This window comes from Homo sapiens, chromosome 3 (assembly GCF_000001405.40).
Source record: "Homo sapiens chromosome 3, GRCh38.p14 Primary Assembly".
Lineage (NCBI taxonomy): Eukaryota > Metazoa > Chordata > Mammalia > Primates > Hominidae > Homo > Homo sapiens.
Window position 1 is genome coordinate 191,322,168 of NC_000003.12, and position 24,979 is coordinate 191,347,146.

At 39.0% G+C, this 24,979-nt stretch overlaps 2 protein-coding genes across 7 annotated transcripts in view, besides 4 other annotated features; one reads left to right on the forward strand and one right to left on the reverse strand.

The window, feature by feature from the left end:
- UTS2B (urotensin 2B) overlaps positions 1–24,015 on the reverse strand; it is a 79,015-nt gene extending 55,000 nt beyond the window's left edge. For 2 of the 4 annotated variants that reach the window (XM_011512631.3, XM_017006091.2), the window contains exons 1-2: positions 6,637–6,992; positions 6,464–6,542 (exon numbers count right to left, since the gene is read on the reverse strand). The gene's annotated coding sequence lies outside the window, so the exon portion shown is untranslated. Of the gene's footprint in view, positions 1–6,463; positions 6,543–6,636; positions 6,993–8,246 lie in introns of those variants that run through there. The other 2 variants (XM_047447899.1, NM_198152.5) reach the window with 2 other exon arrangements.
- Positions 6,794–7,395: an enhancer, noted in NCBI's record as "NANOG-H3K27ac hESC enhancer chr3:191046750-191047351 (GRCh37/hg19 assembly coordinates)". NCBI's record gives its function as "activates a minimal SCP1, AML or CMV promoter by ChIP-STARR-seq in naive H9 embryonic stem cells {active_cell/tissue: H9 hESC(naive)}" and the evidence as "EXISTENCE:reporter gene assay evidence [ECO:0000049][PMID:30033119]".
- Positions 6,923–7,002: a silencer, noted in NCBI's record as "silent region_15003". NCBI's record gives its function as "represses an Ori minimal core promoter by ATAC-STARR-seq in GM12878 lymphoblastoid cells {active_cell/tissue: GM12878}" and the evidence as "EXISTENCE:reporter gene assay evidence [ECO:0000049][PMID:35858748]".
- Positions 7,103–7,382: a silencer, noted in NCBI's record as "silent region_15004". NCBI's record gives its function as "represses an Ori minimal core promoter by ATAC-STARR-seq in GM12878 lymphoblastoid cells {active_cell/tissue: GM12878}" and the evidence as "EXISTENCE:reporter gene assay evidence [ECO:0000049][PMID:35858748]".
- The window catches only part of CCDC50 (coiled-coil domain containing 50), a 69,266-nt gene continuing 51,513 nt past the window's right edge, over positions 7,227–24,979 (forward strand). For all 3 annotated transcript variants that reach the window (NM_178335.3, NM_174908.4, XM_011512460.2), the window contains exon 1: positions 7,227–7,556. In NM_178335.3, the coding sequence (NP_848018.1) occupies positions 7,508–7,556 (49 nt within the window). In that variant the 5' untranslated portion in view covers positions 7,227–7,507. The remainder of the gene's footprint in view (positions 7,557–24,979) is intronic.
- Positions 7,396–7,996: an enhancer, noted in NCBI's record as "H3K27ac hESC enhancer chr3:191047352-191047952 (GRCh37/hg19 assembly coordinates)". NCBI's record gives its function as "activates a minimal SCP1, AML or CMV promoter by ChIP-STARR-seq in primed H9 embryonic stem cells {active_cell/tissue: H9 hESC(primed)}" and the evidence as "EXISTENCE:reporter gene assay evidence [ECO:0000049][PMID:30033119]".

Sequence of the window (24,979 nt, forward strand, 5' to 3'; positions counted from 1 at the left end):
GAAACATTTTAGGTAGAGTTGCTAGCCCATAACTATTTCCAATAATTGGCAGATAACACTATCCAAAAGAAACTCAAGTGTTGAGCATTCATTGACTTAGGTCACTTTTCCACAATGTGGTCAGTGATTTAGAGTTGTCTTGGGAGATAAGAAAAACACAAAATGAAATAAAATAACAAACCAAAAGCAAAACAATGTTTCAAACATGAAAGTAGACCTATCTTGGTTAAATGGTGAACAATTAGCCAATAAAAGGAGAATGAGATTGATCTCCGTGTTAGCAACATGGAAGTCACTGCTAATGTTAATAAGAACAGTTTGTTTTTGGAGTGGTGTAGGCAAATGTATGATTAGTATAGATTCAAGAAAGAATGAGAGAGTAGGAAGTACAGACCATAAGAATAGACAAATATTCCAAAGAGGTTTGCTGTAAATAGGAGCAGAAAACTATAATAGCTGAAGGGGACTGGAGATATGACAAATGTTTGTTAAGGTGGAGGAATTACAGCAAGTTTTAGAGGAAAAAATAATGATGCAGTAGAGAGAGAAAATTTTGGGAGTAATATCTTTGAGAAAATGAAGAAATGGGGTCTCATCAGGGCTGATGTTTAGCAGACATGCACAACCAAAGCAATAATGACTGCTAAGATACTAACATACTTTCAGGACAGTTTGTAAATAATTGCTCTTCTGAGCCCCTTGAGTGCTCCCACCTCCAACCTCCTTTCCCTTGGAACTTCTTGGACCTGCCCACCATCCAGAAACTAAAAGGTAACAATTGGAACAGAAGAAAGCCCCACAGACTGCTTTGGTGCTATGTTTGTGCTTCTGCCATTCTGGTTGTTAAATGCTTTGACTATCACTCAACTATCCAGAGTCCAAATGAAGATGTCAGTCTTAGGAGAAGTTGATGGGTTGATAGATTTGGAAAGGGTATGATGTTCAGGTTCTCTTTTCAGTGCTGTTATTTTATTTTATTTTATTTATTTATTTATTTTTGAGACAGACTCTCGCTGTCGCCCAGGCTAGAGTGCAGTGGAGTGCAGAGTTTTGCTCTGTTGCCCAGGCTAGAGATCTGGGCTCACTGCTATTTCTGCCTCCTGGGTTCAAACAATTCTCAGCCTCCTGAATAACTAGGGCTACAGGCATGGACACCATGCCCAGCTAATTCTTGTATTTTTAGTAGAGACAAGGTTTCACTATGTTGGCCAGGCTAGTTTCGAACTTCTGACCTCAGGTGGTTCGCCCACCTGGACCTCCCAAAGTGCTGGGATTAGAGGCATGAGCTATCGCGCCTGACCTCAGTGCTTTTATTTTCTCGCAAATCTAAGACACTAAGAGTAAAAAGAGGCTAGGGACCTTGTAGGTATAAGGGAAGAAGGTGTGCTATCAGTGTGTTTTGGAATAGGAAGTTAATTGATCAGGGCAATATGTAGAGTTTATAGTAGATTAGCCATGTCTTGGCATCTTGCTATGGAAGTAGAAAAGAGGAAGACAGAGACAAGGGAATTGAGGGTATTGAGTAGGGCGTGATTATCAAAATGAGCTGTCAAATTTAAGCCAGTTAAGAAGAAAATGGGTATAGGGTCAAGTGAGAGGCAGTACCAGGGTGGCAGGGCAAACAGATTATAGGTTCTTGTATAATTGAAGAATTGTTGAATGTGGGGTACCTCTAGGAGTGAGTTGGAGAGAGAGAAGTGGTACTTGGAAGACATTTGAAATTGACAAAGAATGAGTTTTTAGTAATGGCAAATTCCAGTGAAATACCCTGAGAGGAGTTGGCGGAGATGGTGCGATGGCTTGAATGTTGTGCCTTCCAAAACTCACGTTGAAATTTAGTCAGCAGCATGGCAGTATGAAGAGATGGAGACTTTAAGAGGTGATTGGGTCATGAGAGCTCTGCCCTTATGAATGCATTAATCCATTGCTGAATCACTAATGGGTTCTCATTGGAGTGGGACTGGAGGCTTTACAAGAAGAAGAGAGACCTTAGCTAGATCATTTAGCCTCTTCACCATGTGATGCTCTGTGTCACCTTGGGTCTCTGTAGAGATTCTCCACCAGCAAGAAGGCTCTTACCAGATGGGACTCCTTCAATTGGAGGCATTCATAAGTGTAACAAACACATTCATTTTCTTTATAAATTACCAGTTTCAGATATTCTGTTATAAGCAACTGAAAATAGAGTAAGACAGATGGGATAGGGTGATATGGCTTGGCGATGTTCCCACCCAAATCTCATCTTAAATTGTAGCTCCCATAATTCCCACATGTGGTGGGAGGGACCTGGTGGGAGATAATTGAATTATGGAGGCGGATCTTTCCCATGCTATTCTCCTGACAGTGAATAAGTGTCATGAAATCTGATGGTTTTATAAAGGAGAAGTTTCCCCTACACAAGCTCTCTTGCCTGCCACCATATAAGATGTCACTTTGCTCCTCATTTGCCTTCTGCCATGATTGTGAGGCCTCCCCAGCCATGTGGCGTCCATTAAACCTCTTTCCTTATAAATTACCTGGTCTTGGGTGATGTCTTTATTAGCAGCGTGAGAATAGGCTAATACAATGGGGTATAAGCTCATCAGAATAAGGAAGTCAAGGCCCGGCGTGGTGGCTCATGCCTGTAATCACAGCACTTTGGGAGGCTGAGGCAGGTAGATCACTCGAGATTAGGAGTTCAAGACCAGCCTGGCCAACATGGTGAAACCTCCTCTCTACTAAATATGCAAAAAATTTGCTGGGCGTGGTGGTACACTCTTGTAATCCCAGCTACTTGGGAGGCTGAGGCATGAGAATCGCTTGAACCTGGGAGTTGGAGGTTGCAGTGAACCGAGATTGTGCCACTGCACTCCAGCCTCAGTGACACAGTGAGACTCCATCTCAGGAAAAAAAAATAATATTAATAAGGAAGTCAAGGAAAGAGAGATCAGGTTACCAGAAGGAATGACTCTGTATGTTTATGTATACACTGAAATCATCAAGTGTTCTGTGATGACAGAGAGTGAGAAAAAAAGGTCTCATCTGTAAGGAGTAAGAAGTTACCCAGAAGTGTACAGATAATTGCAATAAGGGTATGTAGTAGGTGACAGAATTTGAGGATATGAGCTTTAAAGAAGTTGAAAATATTTAAAAATAGGAAAGACATATGTTCTAAAAAAGGCAATAAGATAAAAACCATGGCACCTCCAGGTCCAATGGGGTCTAGGGTATGTTAGAAGAAACAGCCTCTAATTTAGAGGGCTCTTGGAAGAGCAATGTCCCCAGGTGACCCCTGAGTTCCAGTAGGAAAAGAAGGGAAAGGGAATAGTTACAAAGGAGATATGGGGAATTTTGTGAGTAACTGATAGTGAATTCCATAGGGTGAGGGGACTTGAGCAACTGAGGAAAGTTGAGAGCATGAATAGGGTTGGGGAACTTACATATGTTATGAGAGTCCAGACAAAAATGCTTCAAGGCCTGGAGTAAAGAGGCCTAAACTGTACGGTTGGATTATTGTCCTAATAGTCTCTACTATGGGCTGAATTATCTGTCCCTAAGATTCACATGTTGAAGCCCTAGCCTCCAGTAATTCAGAGGGACTGCACTGCAGACAGGGTCTTTAAGGAAGACATTTGGGTTAGCCCTAATCCAATCTGCAAACTAAAAAGAGGGATTTCAGAAGAAACCAAATGTTCTGACACCTTGCTCTTGGACTTCTAGCCTCCAGAACTGTGAAAAACATATATAATAATTTCTGTTATTTAAGCCATTCAGTCTGTGGTATTTTGTTATGGCAACCTTAGAATATTCATACAGTCTTCTTGGTGAAAGTGAATAACAGTTCTAATTGCATCCTCATTTTTGGAACTGTTCTCTTAGGTATATTATGCTGATGAGCTAGGAAGCACTGGGGGCCAAGGAGACAGATAATTCTTTCCAGAAGTATAGTTCTGTGGGTCCCCTTTCCTGTTTTGCCAAGGTCCAGTGTAATTTATTCATTTGCCTATATTGTTTTTTTAACTTACTTTTAATTTGTGATTCTTACTGATAATAAAATTGGATAACTATATTTATTTATTTATGCAACAAATATTTATTGAGTGCCTATTATGTGCCAAGCACTTTTCTAGATACGCGGATATTAGGGAATCAAACAGATAAACCCCTGCCCTCACAGAGCTTACCTTCTAGTAAGGTAAGCTCTAACTGGGGGATGCTTTTGTGGAATTTGGTAGTTTTCAAACTGGAGTTTTCATTTCTTATGACCAAAGTCTCCCTACTCCAATCCAAGCATTTTATTGTTACCAAATTCACTTTATAAAAGTAGAAAATGTATCATGTAATATCCACCTAGAAAAAAAAATCAATTGATGCCTCCATATTGCCTTATAAATAAAATCCTTATTTCTCTCTATGGCATTCAAGTTGTGATTTGATGCTGAATTACTTGTTTGGCATCTGCCCCAAATTAGGGATCTGTATCCATCCTGAGAAGCCTTATGCTTTCTCTTTTATTGCAAAATGGACATTTCAGGACACCAAAAGATGTAAACTTGTTACAGAAATTCACCATATGTTCATTCCCTATAAATACTCAAAAGATACTAGCTCTTCCCCGTGTTACTGTCAGTCCTTTGCTAGAAGTTGCCTACTCTGTAATGCTGAGCTCTAATTGTTTGCTCAGCTTGGGGACCTATACAGAACAGGTGTGGAGTAGGAGAAGGAAAGCCCAACTATGGGGTGGATTTCCAGGTCATCTGCTCTAGTACCTGAAAAGGGCTCCTGGTTTTCATTACTTTTTCTGCTGAAAGCAGCCGATTCTCTAAACAATAGTTGTGGCTATTATATATGTTTCCATTTCTTCTCTAGGCCAGAAATGTGGATATTTTTATGCATATCTTACTGTAAGCACATCATATTTTAAGCATATCTTACTTTTGGCATATCTTACTGTAACAGTCACAGTCTAGGTAGGAAACAGGAGGTGCACTGTAAGTGATTTTACTGAAAAGAATGTAATGAAGAGACAATTTCAGAGGTATTAACTGGGTTAAGAGAACTAGGGGAGGCCGGGCGTGGTGGCTCGTGCCTGTAATCCCAGCACTTTGGGAGGCCGAGGTGGGCGGATCACTTGAGGCCAGGAGTTCCAGACCAGCCTGGCCAACATGCCAAAACCCTGCCTCTACTAAAAATACAAAAGATTAGCCAGGCGTTGTGGTGCACACCTGTAATCCCAGCTACTCGGGAGGCTGAGGCACGAGAATCACTGGAACCTGGGAGGCAGAAGTTGCAGTGAGCCAAAAGGAACTAGGGGAAGCCATCACACTCTAGGCCTGAAGGGACACTGGAAACAAATTGTTTTATTAGAGACCCATGAGAGCTGAGGCCATGGAAAAGAGGCCTCTACACAGGCCCTGTAGTCATAGAGGGACAGGACTGTGGCCAAAATTTTGGGTTAAAGGAAAGAAGAATACTCTGATATTTCTCTCCTCCCTTCTTTTGATTTTCTGCCAGTGCTTCCCATTGGTCAATCACAACAGGAAGCCACAGGTCAAAGGGGCCTAGTGATTTATCTGTAGGCATCCAAAGGCACGGCTTGGTAGAGAAGTAGAAACGATAGATTTGGGGAGGGAAACAGAAAATACTGCTGTTATAAATATTCTCTAGACCACAGGAAGTTAAAAAAAATTACTAGATTACAGGACAATTAAAAAATTCCCATAAATCTACCTTTCTAATACCACTTCCTTCTTATTCCCACATTTAACCTGCTGAGTGTTATCTCTGCCTAGCACTGGGGTGGGTAAACTTTTCCTGTAAAGCATATTTTAGACTTTGAGGCTTAAGAGGCAAGGTCGAAAATATTATGTCCTATTTATGTAGTGATTTGAAATGTAATTATTTGAACATATAAAAAACAGTCATTCAAATTCAGTGGCGTAGATTTGGCCTGTGGGCTATACTTTGCTACCCTCTGGCCTTGAAAGTCTTCTAAATTTTTGCTAGCCTAAAATCCACCTACTTTTCAATGTCAAGTTCAAATAAAACCTCCCCTACGTGGCCTCTCATACTGGGACTCTGAGCTGTGAGTGACAGAAAATCAACTATTACTAGCTTAAGCAAAACTGAGGATAAGTTGAGAGTTTGCGGGTTGTAGATCCCAGAATCCAGGAGTTGCTGAAATGCCAGCTGCTCTGGGGATATCCTGCTTTGCTACTGTGGTAACATCAGAACATGCCCTCTTCATCTCCCTTTCTCTTCTCTTTGCTTCTGTCTTCAGTTTGGCCTCATCATCTCCTAGAGGCAGATCTTTTCCACAAGAAACAGAATATGTAACTCTTTATGTACCCAGGAAAGTATTCTGTTTGACCTGTCTTGGTCACCCAGCCACCCTTCGATGAACCCATGTCGGTGGAGGAAGGGGGAAGAGTGATGGGGTAGTCTCGAGGTTCAGACATGGCACACGTTTGGGAGAGAAGCTCACCTCTGAGGAGTGGGGAAAGAGGCAGTTTCCCAAAAGGAGGATGCATTCTGTTGCCAGGAGATGAAACAGGAGAGGTTGTCTATTTTAGAGAGATAGAAATGTCACAATTACAATCCAATGTGTGCAGCGCTATAACAGAGATAAGTCTGACGCCTCGTTATCACCCACAGTACCTAACATCACACTTGGTAGACACATTCATGCGATTTTGATGAATGAATGACTCAGTTCTCCCAGCTGATTGTGTACACACTCTACTCCAAACTGGCCCAGAATTTTATCAGCTGCTCTTCATTCTGTACGTTGTATTTGGGGTTTTTATGGCCATCTACCATCTCTCCTCTAATTCCGGGTGCAAAAAGAGTGTATGAGAGAGAGGCAAGCATGCAGTAAACATCCTGTGTTAATCTCAATCCCAGAACCAGACCACAGAATGCTGACTACACCGCTCACGGGAAAGACTATGTTTTAGGTGACCCGTGTGGCCTTTTTGTTGAGGCCTTTAGGATACAAGGCCCCCACCTAAAGACGCGACCCTCCCGTAGGAGGGGGGCAGGGCCCGGGGGCGGGAGCACAGCGGGGCCCCAGCCTCAGGCGGCGCGTCACTGAGCACAAAGGAGACAACAGCGAGGCGGCAGCGGGCGCTGATCTTCGCTCGCCAGCCACTCGCAATTGCGGTTACAGACCTGCAGCTCCCCCTCCCCCAGCCGGCCCGCCCGCCTTTCTGTCTCCTCTCTCCCTCCGTACTGGACGGCCCCGGTCCATTTCCGGGCTCCGGATATTTGGTATCGATTGGGGCCGGGGACGCGGAGCAGGTGGCCGCGGCGGGGCAGCTGGGCCGCCAGCTTGGTGCCTCGGGGACCGTCTCCCGCTGCTTTGGTCACCAGCCCCTGCCCGCCCGACCCGCTCCGTTCTCCGGCCTGCGAGCCCTGCCGGCCGGACTTTGCGCCGCGTCCGGCGCTGCTGCTGCGCTCGGGGCCCCGCTCGGCGCCGGCGGTGACCGGGAAGCCCGCGTTAAAGGGGCAACCGGGACCCTGGCCCGGTATGGCTGAAGTCAGCATCGACCAGTCCAAGCTGCCTGGAGTCAAGGAAGGTAAGGGCCCCGGAGGGAGAGCGCGCGGGACCCTCCCCTCTCCCAGCCCGAGGTTCTCTCAGGTCAGGGGCGTTGCCATTTCGGCTCCCGCGGCCCTCGCCCGGTGCCCGCCCTGCGTTGGCCTTGCCCGGACGTGAAAGGAATTGAATTCAGGTTCTAGTGTGGGACGTTGGGCAAGTCTCCGACGTTCCAAGCCCGTTTTTTCTCAAGGGGGTGGTTGGGGGGGGGGGGGGCTAGCAGCAGCCCCAGCAAGTAGGTGGCTGTGCCCGTGTTCTCGTGCATCGCAAAGCCTCAGTGGACGCTGAGAGCCGGGTGAATCTGACTTACTCCGCTTCTAAAAAATCGAGGCCCAGCCTGGCTGGCTTGAAGGCTGGGAAGTGGAGAGGGGTTGACATTCAGTTCCGTGTGGAGCCTTTGTTTTGAAACATGACTCTTTCCCTCCTTCTCTCCCTACTTTTCCTAGGCCGGCGTCTGGCTGGCTGACTTTCCCACCTTCCTCAAGGTTTAAAAGTTTAGTCTTGGCTGTGTTCTGCGCGGGCGGGAAGCCACTATAAGCATTTTCTTACAAACAAAACACACACACACACACACACACACACACACACAATAGTGAGCGAGGGGAACAGGGGACTGATGGCCTTGTCATTGCTTTTTGTACCAATGTCCAGGAAAGTAGAGATTAGTACTGACCTGGCTTTAGCTGACAGCAAGTAGCCTTTTGACTTCCCTTCTCTTGTTTTTCCACTAGCTGCCTCAGGACCTAGCTTTTTTTTGCTGAGATCTTAGGTGCTGGATCGCCTTATGCCTTGAGTTATCTTTGTTTATTCTTTGGTCCTAGGAAGCATAGACGTTCCAGAGTGCTGACGCAGACCCCTAAGTTCCAAGGGCTTTGCAAAATCGGCTTCTGTTGTGAATGTCATTTGTATCGATTGAATACTGTAGCCTGAGGCGTCTTGGAGATGTGGAATTGAAAATAGTTTTTGCTTTCTTGGAACCGCTTGTTTTATTGCCAACTTAATTTGACTCCGTTGGTCTTGTGTGTGCTCAGGCCAGCCCAAAAATCTCAGGAAAATGAGGGACTGCTTGATTGCTTTCTCAGAGTTTCAAGCACTAGGAGACTAGTGACTAGTGGTCACTGATTTTATGTAGAATTTCTGATGGGCCTAGTTCTGTCTTACTGTTCCGGAAGGGTGTTAAAGCTTAGGCGTGAGATTTTAGCGTTAATACTTTTCTACCTTTCCGTCCCTGGTATGGCTTTGATGAAGACTTAGGGCTTTCACCTGTAGAAAACAGTTTTCACTCTGCTGTCAAGACTAAGGAGGCTGAGCGATAGGAAAGGCGGATCCATACTTTTGAGAGTTCTTATCTTAGAGATTGTCTGGTTATCCTTTACTTTTGGATATGAGGGTTTTTTGTGTGGGTATGTGTTGGGTTTGTCTCTAGAGAAAGAGTGATCCTTGTGCAGTGTGTAGTGCATGGTGAGTAGAATGAGAATTGGAGTTCAAACAAAACCTGGTATGTATAGTATTAATCATATGGTGCTATGATTTTATCCAATCCCCTATTCATGTGAGTGAAAAAACATAAAACTCTTCATATACATTTATATTACCCTTAGGTCTTCTGATTTCGTACCAAGACATGAATGATGTATTCTAACATATTATTTCTCAAGGAGTTCCACAAACACCTTCCATATAAAAATGCAAGATTTTTCCATTTCCACACTCTAGAGTCTAATACATTTAAATTAGCTTTCATTTTGCGTAATACGGTGTTTGGCAATCTCTTTTATGTAATCTGGTAAATTGGTAAGAAAATTCAGTGTGGCTCTTTCATTAAGTTACAATTAAATATTAATTTTGAAGGTGGTCAGGAATCGATGAGATCACTGTCTTTGTAAACATCTGACTTTTCTAGTTCCAAGATCATCAAAGGAAGTGATGTATTATACTAGGAATGTCCTACTAATGGTGGTGAAGTTTTTGATCTGAGAAGTATTCAAGTCTAATAAAGTGTATCCTTCCCTAATATAACTCTTAATTATGGCCCAGTTACTCCCTAACAGTGTCTTTATCCTAATTAAAGAGAATGAAGCTTGTGCCCCTGATAGGGTAAAACATGTGCAAACATTGAGACTGTGGTAATATTGAAACTCCAACTTCATTTGAGAAGGGTTAGTAGTAGTAATTAGTTTAATATTCTGATGCAGATTTTTGAACCCCATTCAAAAAAATCCCTGTATCTGTCTCCTCTACTTTTTAATTTAAACTTTTGATAGATATATATGCAGTTACAATTTATATTCAATTTGGTATCATGGGGTAGATTCCAATAGAGATTAAGAAGAATAGTGCAGTGAGTGTGTGCCCGTTTCCATTGCTGTTTAGGAGGGGATGGGGCACCCTGTGACCTTTTGTCGTGAACATTTCAATAGAGGTCGTGGGTAGCAGCTGACATTAGGGTAAGGGGATATTTAAAAATCTTCTTTCCTAGGTTGAAATCTAATGCTTGCTTACTTAGTTTTTAAGGAAGTCAAAAATATTCATCATTTGGACAGACCTTTTGAAAAAACACACACACATACACCTATGGTAGTATTTATACCTTGGTAAATCTCTTAAACTGGGAGACAAAGGGAAATGATTGAGTTCATATGTAGGTGAAAAGAATCAAGTCAACTAAGTGTCAACACATCATTTTTTCTGGTTAAAAGTGTGTTTGGAACATCTGTATACTTTTTGTAATGGAAAACGCTGTTGCCAATATTCAGGAATAATACTCTATTTCTTCTGAAACATTTGAGGTTCTAGATTTGAAATAATTTCCAGCCATTTTAAACTTCAGTAGGTCTATAACTGAAATGCAAAATGCAATTTGCGAATGTTAGGGAAAGGAACAGGCATGTTTCAACAATATTCTGAAAGTTTCTTGGAGTTCAGAGCTGGAAACATATTTTTGTAAAAAACTTTTAATCAGTTGACAAACTTACATTTTTCAGGGGGTCAGTTTTAGCTTCTTCATTGAATTTTTCTTTTCTGAACCAGCAATCAAGACTCCCTACTTCCTTTTGCTCTCCAAGTTCCTGTATCGGTAAATGAATTGTCCACTTGCTGTAATTTTGCCATTTAGCCCTCTCTAACCAAGATGTTGATCGAGGCCTTTCTAGACATTTTGGCGTTTCATCAACTTCTTTGCAATTTCTTAAGCATTAGAGCTTTACCACTTTTAGCCATGCAGTGCATGCTTTCAACCTCTCCTATTTTCTCCAAGTGTTAATCTTTATTTTTCTTTCCTTACAGCAGTTCTCTCAATCTCATTTTTATGTTCAATTCTTACATTCTTTAGGTGGAAAGTTCCACTGTCTCAAAGTTGGTGAATTCTGTGTGTGTTGGTGTGCATGTGTGTGCTTAACATCTGAAATCAGTTTACCTAGGAGTGACTTACTTCTTGAAGTACAGGTAGCTAGCTATTCTGGGAGCAAATCCTTTTTCTTTAGTGAAAGATACAATTTAATACATTTTTAGAAATGTCTGTAAAAGGAAACATACCTAGAAAGCACTGATTTATTTTAGGTTCAGGGCACTCCAGTGGCATAATGTGTTAAATTAAGTTAATGGCGTACATCCAGACCTTCAAGGGGGAAAGATATAAAATTATGTCTGGTACCATCAGTGAACCCAGTAGTCTAAGAAATTTAGAGCTTATCACATGCACACTAGGCATCTAAACAGATGGCAGTGTCCATGAGATGTACATATATCTGGCTACACGGCAAACCCACTTTCCCTGTTTTTCAAAATTCCATAACAGTTTTTGTTTTGGTTGTTGGTTTTTAATGAGACCCTGGCTGGATCTCTTGGAGCTAGGAGGTTTATGTCTTAGTTATCTTGCTGTACCCTCATTTGGATGAATGTCTTTTATGTAATCAGCAACTATTCAGTAAATATTTGCATGTGTGAATAAATGAATGAGTGAATGAATGAATACATTATTATTCTCTGTTGGTTTAGGAATCTTGTCTCTGGCATAATTATTTTGTATTCTTTTTCAGAGTATAAGCTTTTAAAAGGCAGAGATAATACCTTTTAAACTGTGTGTATCACTTATTTATACCAGCATTAAATTTATAAAAACTTCGAATTTTTTTCTAATTTTTTATAGGTATGTCTTGTAAATAGAATTCATTCAACATAGATATGTATTACATAGAAAAATTAAAGAAAGTAATTTGTTGCTTTCTTTTCTGACTTTGGAGATAATCATTAAGAATAGAATTTTAGTAAAATTTTCTAAATGCTATTTTGTGTTTTTGATTTTTACTTGAGTAATAATAGGTTTAATTTTTTGTTCTAAGTACAAAGCAATATCACTCAATTTGGGAGCAGGAAGGAATCTTAGATAATTTGCATATCTGCTGTGTGCCACATGTTGTGTTGAGGGTATTTCCACAATAAAAAAAAATTTTCCATGGTACATGAACATGATCTTTGCTGTGGTATAGAATGCATGGAGTTGTTGAAAGAACTGTCTGAATTCATATGTGCACCAAAAATGGCTTTCACAAAAGGGAAGAAAATAGTATATTGCCATATGTAGACTTGCATTACTTTTTTGAATGAAGAAGGGAATTTTCAAATGGATGTAACTGTTAATTTGTAAAATATATATTTTTTAAACAGGTACTTAACGGACGACTCACACGTGGGAAACCATAGTTAATTGGTACTTTAAAAAGAGATTTCAGAGTAGAAAGCACTAAAAACCACTGTTCTAGGCCAACTTCCTTATTTTCCAGATGAAAATCCCAGGGTCAGGGAGGGCAAGTGAGTTGTATTAAACCACTGAGGCTAAGTAGCTAGGAATTGGCACATTGGGGCCTAGAATTAGAAAAGTTTAGAACTGTGAGTAGTTGCTTACACAGCTTATTCTTCCCTCCATTTCTTTTTACCTACCTTCTCTTTTCCTTTTCCTCCTTCCCTCTCTTCCCCTTCTTTCTTTTAAATTGTTCTGTAGATGCGAAAGATTCATTTCTGATGTGTTTCATTTATGTGATATGCCATATGTTTAAGACAGTAGAATGAAAATAATAAGGCTTTTTCTGAGGATAGTTATTTTAAGGATAATGTATCATATGGATGCTGAGTTAACATACAATTTTTTACAACTTTTAGTTTTGATTCAGCAAATGAATTACTGAGTGAACTGTAGGAAGTCACACTCTTGCCTCACTGTTTTTTCTACCTGAAAAGTCTTGCAAAAATGCATGTCTTCTCTGGTATATTCATTCTAAAGAGGCTAATATTTAAAGGTAGAAACTCTAAAATTAAACGTATTGGAGAAATAAAGTCATAGGCCATGGTCTTTCCTCAGCCCTTGTTAGGGACTTAACAGTTTTTGTTGAGATAAATAAATTTTTCCTCAGTGACAAAAAACATGTGAGTTTCATTCATAAAGAAAACAGTTATGGAGACCACTAAACTTAAGTAAATGCTGCTTGAAATCCCAGTTCTCCAAGGTACAGAAGCATATTTAGAAGTGAATTGCTTTGATCCATAGAGGAGAAAACAAACATTCAAACAACTATATTTGCTGTTTCAGAGGTAGCCACTGGAAGTGCCATTGGATTAATGTTTTTAACTGGTGACTCGTTTAAAGGTGTCCTGTGCTTCAAAAATGTAAAATTAGAATAACCTAGATCTTAGATAAGACCTACAAAGGATAATTAGTTTTTATATTTAGAAGGACTTTGGGGATTACTTGGATGTTTGAATCTAGAATGTTCCAGGTGTTTGAATTTAAAAACCAGCGCAAGAGTTCTCAGATATTGCTTTTAAAAGGACTGTTAAGCAGAAAACAATCATTATTTCCTTCTGTCATCATTTCGTTAAAAAAGCATACACACATACATTAAGTGTGTGTGCATAGGATAGTTTTTAGCCTACATTGAGAAAAAGGAAAAAAAACAAAGCAGTAAAGACTTTCTAATAAACCAGAACCAGTGTATTACCGGTCTTGTTTATTTATCAGTGGTTCTTTCCTTTTTCTTTGTCGTTTTAGTCAAGTTCAGCGAATAATTTACATACAATAAAAATTCCTTCCTTTTTAGTGTGTAGTTCTGAGTTTTGACAAATGTGTAGTCTTGGAACCACCACAACAATCAAGATACAGAACAGTTCCTAACCCCCAAACTTCTCAACCCCCGTTTCATGCCCCCACCAGCCACTGATTTGTTTTCTGCCCTTGTAGTTTTGCCTTGTCAAAAATCTTATATAAATAAGATCATATAGTAAGTAGTTTTTTGAGTCTCCTCAAACATACTGTTTATCCATTCACTAATTGAAGAACATATGAGTTTTCAGTTTTGGTGGGTGACAGTAAAGTCACTCTAAACATTTGTGTACAAGTGTTTTTTTTTTTTTTAATGTATGTGTGTGTATTTGAACATAAGTTTTTGTTTCCCTCGAATGGACTTTCTGGGTTATACGGTGAGTGCATGTTAAAATTGTCAAACTGTTTTTCAAAATGGCTGTACCATTTTGTATTCCCACCAGCAATGTATGTGAGCTCCAGTTGTTCTGCATCCTTGCTGGCATTTGATATTTTCAGGACCCATTTACTTTTTTTAATTTTAACCATTTGAGCAAGTGTGTCATGATATCTTATTGTGGATTTAATTTGTATTTCCCTAATGACTCATGATGTTGTGCCTTTTTTCTTGTGCTGATTTGCTATTCTTATATTGTTTGTTGAAGTGTTTGCTTTAAATTTTAGCTCATTTTAAAATCGACTATTTTCTTATTATTGAATTTGGGAGTTCTTTACATATTCTGGATACAGTTCTTACTAGATACACAGTTTGCCCATGTCCATGCTTTTAAAAACCTTAGTTCAATATCAGAATGATATGGGGATCCAAACACCTTCCTAGCCCTACTTGATATTAGCTAAATCTCTTAGAGATGGTTTCAGGAATCTGTAGTTTTTATATACAGACTATGTACTCAGACTTATGCAATTACATTTGGAAAATTACAGAATGAGTATACTGTGGCCACCCCAATACAAGGATCTTCTCCTAATTTCTTAAGTTTTTGCAGTGACAGCTCATTTATCTGATAAAGAATGAGCAGTAATCCTCTCTAGTAATTCAAATTTGTTGCAGGGACCTGCAAACTACTGCCACTTGTTTTGTATAGCAAGGTAGCTCAGGATGGCTTTTACAGTGTTTAATGATTCAAAAAAAATAATGTTTTGTGATGTGAAAATTGTATGAAATTCAAATTTCAGTGTCTGTAAGTAAAGTTTTATTGGAACATAGCCATACTTATTCATTTACATATTGTCTTTGTCTGCTTACATACTGTAGAGGCAGAGATGAGTAGTTGTAGCAGAGACCACGTGATTGGCAAAGCTTAAATTTTTTGCGACCTGATACTAGACAGAAAAAAAAAAAAGATTTGTTTTGGAGCCATTTTCAATGAAACTTTTAAAAAACTTTGTTATTTAACCTTTTTTGGACAGTTCAGTTATCGGTATAAACACTGTTTTTCATAACTTTGCTTTAATATAATGATGCCCTTGGGAATTATTGTTGATTGAACTCTTATGACAGCCTATTTAATTTTTGAAGTGACTTTAAAAAGTACAGAGTTAAATCATTTTTCTTTCTCTCTCTCTTTTTTTTTTAAGACGGTGTCTAGCTCTGACGCCCAGGCTCGAGCGATTCTCCTGCCTCAGCCTCCCGAGTAGCTGGGATTACAGTTGCCCGCCACTATGCCCAGCTAATTTTTGTATTTTTAGTAGAGACAGGGTTTCACTGTGTTGGCCCGGCTGGTCTCAAACTCCTGACCTCGTGATCCGCCCATCTCGGCCTCCCAAAGTGCTGGGATTACAAGCATTAGCCACTGCACCCAGCCTCTTTTTTTAAGAAGAAAAAAAAATTACACTCCGGTAAATTTCTGGGGACTTTCAAAATCAAATGTAGGTAGAAATCTTATGTAAAGTAAGAGTATGCCGTATGCCAGCTCTGAGTAAGGGTCTGTGGGGCTTTCAGAAGTTCATGAGTATCCAACAGATTTAACCACCTTAAAATGTTTCCTTACGTTTTTTTTTTAGCTTATATTATTGGTCCTGTTTAAAACTTATTACAGATATTTGTGTGAATGAAGTATCATTTCATCTTTTTAGAAACTTGTATCAGAGGTACCTAGGCTAATTTATCACCAAATTTTTCATCTTGCCTGATGAGCATTTCCAGTCCTGATACAGCTCCTCAGTGACCAAATACCAGGGGAGTCTCCCCTGGACTTTTTTGGCTTTTGTTTTTCCAATGAGTCATAAAGGCTTAGTCATTTTCCATTAACTTTAGGAGTTTTAACTGCATATAGTAAAACTATGAATGACTTATAAGGATATCTTTCCCTCTTCACCGCTTCCCCATCAGCAACAAATTCTGTTTTGTTTATTGACTATGGAGGAGTCCATGATTGACTTTAAGTATTATATTCACTAATTTTTGAGTAGCATCTTCCCACCAAATACTTTGAAAATATTAGGTTTTTCTTTTATATTATGAAGGTCTGTGTAAATATCGAATACAAGAGTTGACAAATACTGTGAAAGACTCTTTTTGTCTAGATGGGAGTCCTGACGTAGAAGAAAGAGAAAGATAGGGGCTCACTTAATGGTCCACGTTCTTCCCATCTGTACATCTGGAGTTTGCCTTAATATCTGGGCCGGTAGCTCTTTTGGAAAGGGCTATTCACTCTCAATGTCTGCATTTATAGATCACTTTCTGGCTTTTCCTAGAAAATATTTTCAATTCTGTCAGTGATTGCTGGATTCTAAGTTAACATGTTTGCTTCTGTTGTTTTCCCAGCATTCTCTGGTCAGACTTCATTATTTCAAATTGGTCTTTGGTGGATCCACAAATCATTCCTTCTTTTTATAGTTTCCCCATTGAAGCTCCATAGAGCTAATCTTTGAAAGATCATTTTACTTTTACTTTTTGTTGTATGAGTTGTTCCAGCTCTCAAATTTCTATAAGAAGTTGATTGGTGTTGTGATTGACAACACCTGAAGTCAGAGTGGTCTCCTTTGGAGGCAACAGTCTTACTTGTTTAAGGATTAATTTTAATTATATAAGATGCTGGTAATTTTTGTACACGTTCCAGTAAAGTGATATGGTCATTTTGTTGCTGTTACTAGAGTATTCAGTTAGTTTCTTAGATAGTATTGGGTTCCATCAGAATTTTTATGTGTGCTATTTTCTCTTTTAAATTTATTTTTAGATAAAGGGGGGAAGGCTCTTACACAGTTTAAACAAGTCAAACATAGCATGTATTTTTAAAATTCTTGATATAAGGGGAGACAGTTGTGAAGAATCTGAAAGTTTTGGGTTGGAAACAATGAATATACAGATTGCAAACTTGTCATGGTTTATATTGAAAAGAGGAGAGAGCATGAGCAAAAGAATGAGCTGAAGCCTTTTTGCTTTGGGGATGATATGTTCAATTTGTACTTATTTTAGAATGGTCTCTTTCAGGTTCATATGGTGTATTAGAAGTTAACACTGGTTAAAAATATGCAGTGCTACGAAAAACAAATGTATCCTTCAAGGGAGTTATGATATAAAATTTTCTAAACCATCTAAATAATTTTGACTCTATATAAAAAAAGTGAGGCAAGTGATTCCTTTATAGCAGAAAAGGATTTGGACAGAATCTTGTCTTCCTGTTCCTAGATACAGGCTGCCCCTGATTTTCTTTCATTTCCTCTGCAGAGGGTATTACATGATAACCAAGCAAACTGTAGGTTGTACTGAAGCCAATTTCAGTAGCAATCATAGAGAAATCTAGGGCATTTAGAACGCGTTGCAGATGAACATAAAAAATTTGGTGATCTTCAAGAAGCTTTCTGAATATGGAAAGTGTTGACTTTCCCAGGCTGTACTCTGATCATCTGGCCCCAGGAAAACCTTTTAGTAAATGTTACAGTCCACATTTGTATTCACTGGACAGTTAGTGACTGATAACATGGTCTCCATTTACTCTGATACTGAAGACTCTGTGAGAACTATTAGTTGAAACAGGAAAAGCTCACCTTTTTAAAAGGCACCAGGTTGAACAAAAGGTTAAAATGTACTTGTGGTGAAAGATACTATACAGTTGGATATAAGCAGATTGTTGTTATCTTGGATGCTAGAAATAGTGAAATCAGCAGCAGCAATGAAGAAAGCAATATTTGGTGTAGGTGAAAGTTAGCATGGCAATTACCCTAGATGAATAGGCTTCAGTTATTACATTTTTACATGATGTATAATACTTGTATCCAAAAGACAAATGTCTATCACTTACACTAAATCAACTACATTTCATTCTACCTTATTTTTAAGTTGGATAGATTCTTAAGAGGTAATTTAATCTGTCTCCTCACAGGTCAGGACATGAGGCTCTGATTTGGAAGGTGACTTGTCAAAGTTCATTCACTTGACAAGCTGCTGACAGAGCCAAGACTAAAATTCTGACAGGTATCTGTAATTAAGAGGGCTCTTTATACTATAATTTGCTTGCGCCTTATATACTATCATAAAGTCCTTATATTTCTGTAAATTGGGCAAGTAAATCTATATTTATTACATTTCAGATGCTAAAGTGTCATGGAGATTTAGCAGAAAGCTTTTACTACAGCAACTCAAAATACAGAATTAGGAAACTACATTTAGTTTTAGCTATGCCAAAAAGTTTTAATCTGCATGTTAATATGTTGGTTAGATTTTGGCTGGCTACACTTCTACTCAACAGTTTTCCTTCATACCCTTCTTGATGGTGATAATTTGATGATTCTTCTGTCTCAGTAAACTATAATTACATAATCTTCACATAGAATTCTACTTTACTTTCTAATCTTGGACATTCAGCTGAAAAAGTTTGGAGTGGCGGAGCTTATTAAACATTTTAGACATTCTGATTTCCCCTTAACTCAGGCCTACAATGTGTATAGGAAACATATTCTCCCTCAGGCGGACATATGAGGTTAGAAAGAGCTTTAGACGTGCAGTAAACTATTGATTATATTGTTATTCCTTGCCAGGAAACATTGCTTCAGATTCTATTTCTTTTTCTTCTAGAGACAGGGTTTCACTCTGTTGTCCAGGCTGGCGTGCAGTGGTGCAGTCATAGCTCACTGTGGCCTCAAGCTCCTGGGCTCAAGTGATCCTTCTGCCTCAGCCTCCTGAGTAGCTAGGACTACAGGCCCAGCTAATTAATTTTTTTTTTTTTGGTAGAGTGAGGGTCTCACTATATTGCCCAGGCTGATCTTGAACTCCTGGCCTCAAGTGATCCTCCCAGCTTAGCCTGCACTGGGATCATTTCTGCAGATTCCTAAGAGCAAGTACTCACTGTAAATTGCAGCACAGATTCTGTACTAGACAAGTGACTAGATCTATGTTAATCAGTGACTTAGTGGGACCTCACTAGAAGCAATACCTAATAGAAAATAACTAATTATAAGAATTTATTAACTTTAATGAGGCCAATAATAGGCTCTATTTATTGAGCTGCTGCTTAGTGAGTAGCAGATGCTTTCTTTCGCCCTTCACATACCTTATCTAATTTAGTCCTCACAACATTTATCCTTATTTTACAGATGAGGAACCTGAGGTTCAAAGAAATTAAGTACTTGCCCAAGGTCTTTTAGCCTGGAAGTAAGCAATATTTGAGTCCTGATCTGTACTCAAGATACTCACAAATACTTCTTAAACACTTAAAAAAATTCAAAACAGATCCAGGTTGTTGCTCTGTATACTCTGTTTATTTGTATGTTATTGAAGTCTTAGCATCCTCCTCACTGGAGTCTCTCAGTGTGACTGGCAGCTTAAGTTTTGGCTTTTCTCTTCTCAGAGTGCTAGCTGTTTTCAGCCTTTGTTGGGAATAGAGAACTATCAAGAGTTCACATGTAACTGAAGTACCAATAAGGTGAATATAAATTTCTTTCTGAAAAAAAAATTACCCCACTCTTGTGAAACTGCATGGAGAGCCAAAGGGTTGACAGAATCACTTCTTAAAATCTATGTGTAACTCCCTGTTACTTGTGTGGGAATTTTCTGGACGTACTTTGAAACACTGGCTGGCTTCCTCAAGTCTGCTGTGCGGTCACCTTATTCTGTATAGATTGTTTCTAGGGGAAGAAATATTATTTTTATGTAAGCTTACTTTTATTAAAATTAGGCAGATATAGCTCCTGATCTTCTGTGGAAGTATCCTCCTAGGTTGTATAAAACTGATTTGATTCTAGGAATGTACCCATGATCTCAAGGTATCTTTTAGACAAACACATTTTTAGTCAGTGAACATGACCAGTTACTGAGCCTGTGGTGGCCTAACAGTGGAATTGCAGAAATTTCAAGATTTACACATTTGTTTTCTGTTCCTAACTTTTGATTTCCGTAATCCAAGATTTCCAGAAATGTGTGTAGAGTTCTGACAAATAGTTATCAGAATGGAATTGCCAGTATTGCAGTTTGCTTTGTGAGAGCAAGATTTTAAGAGATTATTTTACCATGCCTGTTTATCCCATGACTCTATCTAAAGTAAAGTTGTTGGGGAATTTTGAATATTGCTCTCAATCGTTTAAAGTTGAAATGAATTTACTACTCCTAATAGGAAGGAAAGTGCTAGCTAAAGTATCTAGTTGCAAAAGAGAATTTGAAAATGGAAATATCTGACTCAAAGGATAAATAGAACTTGCAGTAGCTGGTGCTTAAGGAAGCTCTTTTGTCATATGAAGCCAATAAACTAAAATGGTTTTTCTTCCCCTGGTGTAAACTTGTACTTAAGCTGGGCTGGAAGTGATCTTTGGGTTTTAATGGGCATGGCTGGGTTTATCCTACAGAGGTTTAAGGAGATGGGTGGCTTTTCTTTCTAGGCTAAGGCAAACAGAGTACTGGCTGCCAAACCATTTGAGGGCTTGTGTAAGTGCCAGGAAAAGTGCCATTCAAGTAGTGAAACAACAGAAGGTTGGAGTTTCTTTAGGGATACATGGAATAAAAATAAAATGAATTCTTACTATCTGGATATGCTTTGTGAAAAATTGTTTTGAAAAAATTGTCTACTACTGCTTATATAATGGTATTTACCCTGTTGAGGATGCCTTATGACTATCAGTGGCCTGTTTTTTTCGTAGAATGTCTGACTACCTCCATGAGAATAATTGATAAGTACCTTTAAAATATCCTGCAGTGCTCAAGTACAGTTGACCCTTGAACAGTGTGGGTTTGAACTGTGTGGGTCCATTTATACACGGATTTTTTTTCAATCAAGTGTAGATCAGAAATAACAGTGCTTGGCGGGATGCAAGGCCTGTGTATACTGAGGGACTTTTCATATACCTGAGTTCCGCAGGGCCAACTGCAAGAAGTGAGTATGCACCTATTTTGGTATCTGTGGGGGTGCTGGAACCAGTCCCCCTCACGTATACCCAGGGATGACTGTACTTATGATGGCTATTATTTCTCTCATATTACAGGGGCGTAAACATAAGTGATGTTAGTTTGTTTAAGATTATTTAGTTGGTGAGTGATGGAGCTAGGGTTGGAATCAAAGTAAGAGTTCTCTTGGTTACACCATGCTGCTTCCTTGTGCAATAAATATTCACTGAATATCTCAAAGAGCCAGTGTTCTGTGCAGTGTACTGCAGAAGTTACTGTGTAAGAGTTTAATCTTTCTCTAAGTATAATTTTAAGTTATCTCTTTATGTTTAATTACGAAATTTTATAAACCCATTTAAAAAGTAAACTGAACAATTTAAAAACAGCAGAAGTGCTTCCTTTTTACTCATCTTTATGATTTTAAGAGTAATTAGTTGCTAAGTTCATATATTCCTGAATTGTTCTAAAGTAAAGCAACCATGTAAAATGCAGTTGTTTTTTAAAGAAGGTACAGGAGACAAGAAATCTAGGAGAATGTTTCTTCAGTTGTGACTCATTTAACTTTCAGGGCCAGTTGAAATTCATAAATGTTCACATTTGTTAATCAGAATCCAGGGTACTTCAGTAAGTGCTTGGTAAAGTATTAGAGATTTGGTGGGTTTATTCAGTACCAGTTGTATTTCAAGAATTGAACTCCTCTAACTATGTTGAATACCTGGTTCACTTTACTTTCTAATCAGAAATTTGTTCACTTTGTGTCTGTGACTATATCTGCACAGTGGTTGCTAGATAAATGTAGGATAACTCTTAACCTTTCACCCTACAGAGGTTAGCAAAACTATCACATTAGGCCTGAGGAAGAAGCAGCATAGGAGAAATGTAAATATGCGAGCACTTTGAAGATAAATCAGTGGCTGACACAAGACCAGTAATATACTCAAGACCCTTGGATGTCTGAAATGGCAAAGCGAATTATGCAGTGTGCTTGCAAGCACACATGCTTGTGCATGCATGCACATGCAGAAGGTTAAAATGGTTTTAAATGCTATGAGGTCTCTAATTCAGGTTCACTGAGTGGTCCAGTTGTCTAAATTAGTTCTGTCATACCGTCACGTTGTGATTATCGTCTAGAGCAGTCCTATCTAATAGAACAACTGTGATGATGCAAACGTTCTGTATTCTGTACTGTCCAGAATAGTAGCCACCAGCCCCATATGGCTATTTAGCACTAGGAATATGATTAGTGAAACTGAGGAGATCTGAATTTTTAAAATTAAATTTATATTATATGTAACAGTTACATATGATTGGCGGCTACCATATATAGTGTGAAACAATTATTTGTGACACTAAAGGATAGAACGATGTTGGATCGATAGAACATATTGATTTTGGTTCAGCTTAAGGATGTCATTTCCTTTTGTTTGTTTGTTTGTTTGTTTTGGAGACGGAGTCTCGCTCTGTCACGCAGGCTGGATTGCAGTAGCACAATCTCAGCTCACTGCAACCTCTGCCTCCTGGGTTCAGGCGATTCTCCTGCCTCAGCCTCCTGAGTAGCTGGGACTACAGGCACATACCACCACACCTGGCTAATTTTTTGTATTTTTGTGGAGACGAGATTTCACTCTGTTGCCCAGGCTGGTCTCGAACTCGGGAGCTCAGGCATTCTGCCCACCTCGGCATCCCAAAGTGCTGGGATTACAGGCGTGAGCCACCATGCCCAGCCAGGATGCCAATTCTAATATATGTCCCATTGAGCGTTAGACTGTGAGGAATGCACATCCTCAAATCCTCACATCCTCAAATGCACATCCACATCTTCAAAACATAAAGTTTTGAAGAGAACCTTAGTGACTTCTTGATGGGAATAGAAAGACAGAGCCCAGGAATCAATTTGATGGGCACTCAGAATAAATGATGTCCTGATTGAGCTCATTTTGAGGTTATGGGATGTTTCTTGAGAAGAAAGGAAGCTTAACTTGAGTGCTTTCTGTTAATACCTGCATCAGCATCTTCTAAGAATAGACAAGGTCTAAGTCTTAACTTTTCTTGGGTAGCTTCTGTTTTGTTACTCCCAGCAAAAAAAGGTTTTGGATTCAAAGCACCAATCCATACAGTTGTTGGCTTTAACACAGGAAGCTTATGAGGTTGTCCATGTTTGCGGGCATTTTAAAAATCATTTATGGTAGCTGAGTCAGATAAACCTTATATGGAAAGTTTTATCTGTGTTCGACAGTTTAACCAATATAAGTAAAGACTGCTCTGTTTCTACCTTGCTACCTTTTCCCTGCTTTTTCACTCTTCCTCTCACTCCAGATCATTTGTGCTGTCAGATGGAAATTCTGACTCAGCCATTTTCTCTTTCCCAATAAGTTACCCACTTTACTCTGTGGTCGCTGATAATGATGTAGATGGTCTATGATATTAAAGTAGTACTTCTGATGTGAGGACTTATATCATCTCAGCATTTTCAAAACCCGCTTGCCTGCAATCTGGTGTATCTGCGGTTAGCCATAACATATCTACTTGCCAAACAAGTGGTTTAGGTTACCGGGGTTTTCATTTAACTTTGAATTTAGGGGATTAGAAAAAAAAATAACTCAGGAACATACTTTGATAAATTACGTGAGAATGAAATGTTGGGATTCAATCAGTTTTACTTTTCAGAATGATTCTTCGCAGTGTGTTTGTTGAAGTGTGCATGTGTTGTTGGCACACATTTAAAACTTATGCTTATTACCCTTGTAAAACTGTTGATGATGCTATTATATAATATAGTGCTCCCTATTTTAAGTTGCCACGTGATAACTGAATTTACTTGTACAGTTGATACTAATAAAACATTTCTTTGCAGTAAAGAGCTGGTATAATTTCTCCATTCTGATAATGAAAACTGAACAACTTTTCATATTTCTCTTCTTACATTGGTGTTCAGGAAGATTGTCGACAAATTTGGGACCATATGTGGGCTTTACTTTTGTTAATTTTCAAAGGAGCATTATAAAATAAATCAATAAAATTGCTACTACAACTGATTTTCTTCCTTGTAAATATTTCTTGCTTCACTGTTTAGATGCTTATATTAGAATAAAAACATGTATCTCTCTTTATTATGAAATATTTTGAAAAGGATTATCAGATTCGCCTTCATGGAAGATGAATTGGAAAATATAGAAGTGTTTAAAACGGAAGATAAGCTACATTGTAATCTCATAGTATGTTGTTAATGTTAGAATTTTGATGTTTATTCTTTCTGGTACCTTCTAAATTTAAATAGAAAAGTCAAGTATTTCAAATATAGTCAGGGTATCCTATAGGGAGGCATAAGATCAGCCCTAGACTCTGCCTGTAACATGGAGAGTACGTTTGGGACTTAACCTGTGCATTAACCCGTATGATATGCTACATGGATGATTATCCATAGGGTGTATAAAAATAACAGACCTCAGAATGTCAGTTGTTTCTACAAAACACCTACATACACTCTGGAGAATGTGAGTGCTTTGAGGCTGGAACTAGGACCAGTGGATAATCACTATAGGTTGGCAGATTTTGTCCTTTTGAAGACAGTTTTACCTCTGGTTATTGGAAAAATGGGCTGTGTTTTAAAATAAAGGGAGTTTCCGGTGGCTGAAACATTTAAAAGGAGTCCAGATGATTGCTTGGACAAGATAAGGCTGAATTTGACAACGATTAAAACCCTTTTTGATAGTGTATCTATAATTTTAATAAAGTGATAGATCAGCATCTTTTTATGAACAGTGACTGAAATTTAGAAGTATTTGAGGAAACTAGGAAGCCCAGTCTGCCATTTAGGACCATTATTATTGGAAATAGGATTACAGATTCTTGATACTCTTGACAGTTTGGTGCTCTAACCAATAAGGTGACTTTAGCAGGTCAGATATTTGTAAGAAGTTTGCAGAGGATCCTGAGTTATGCTATTCTGGTGTTTGTAAAACTTTTTGTGAAAAAGGCAGCTTTCTATCTGTGA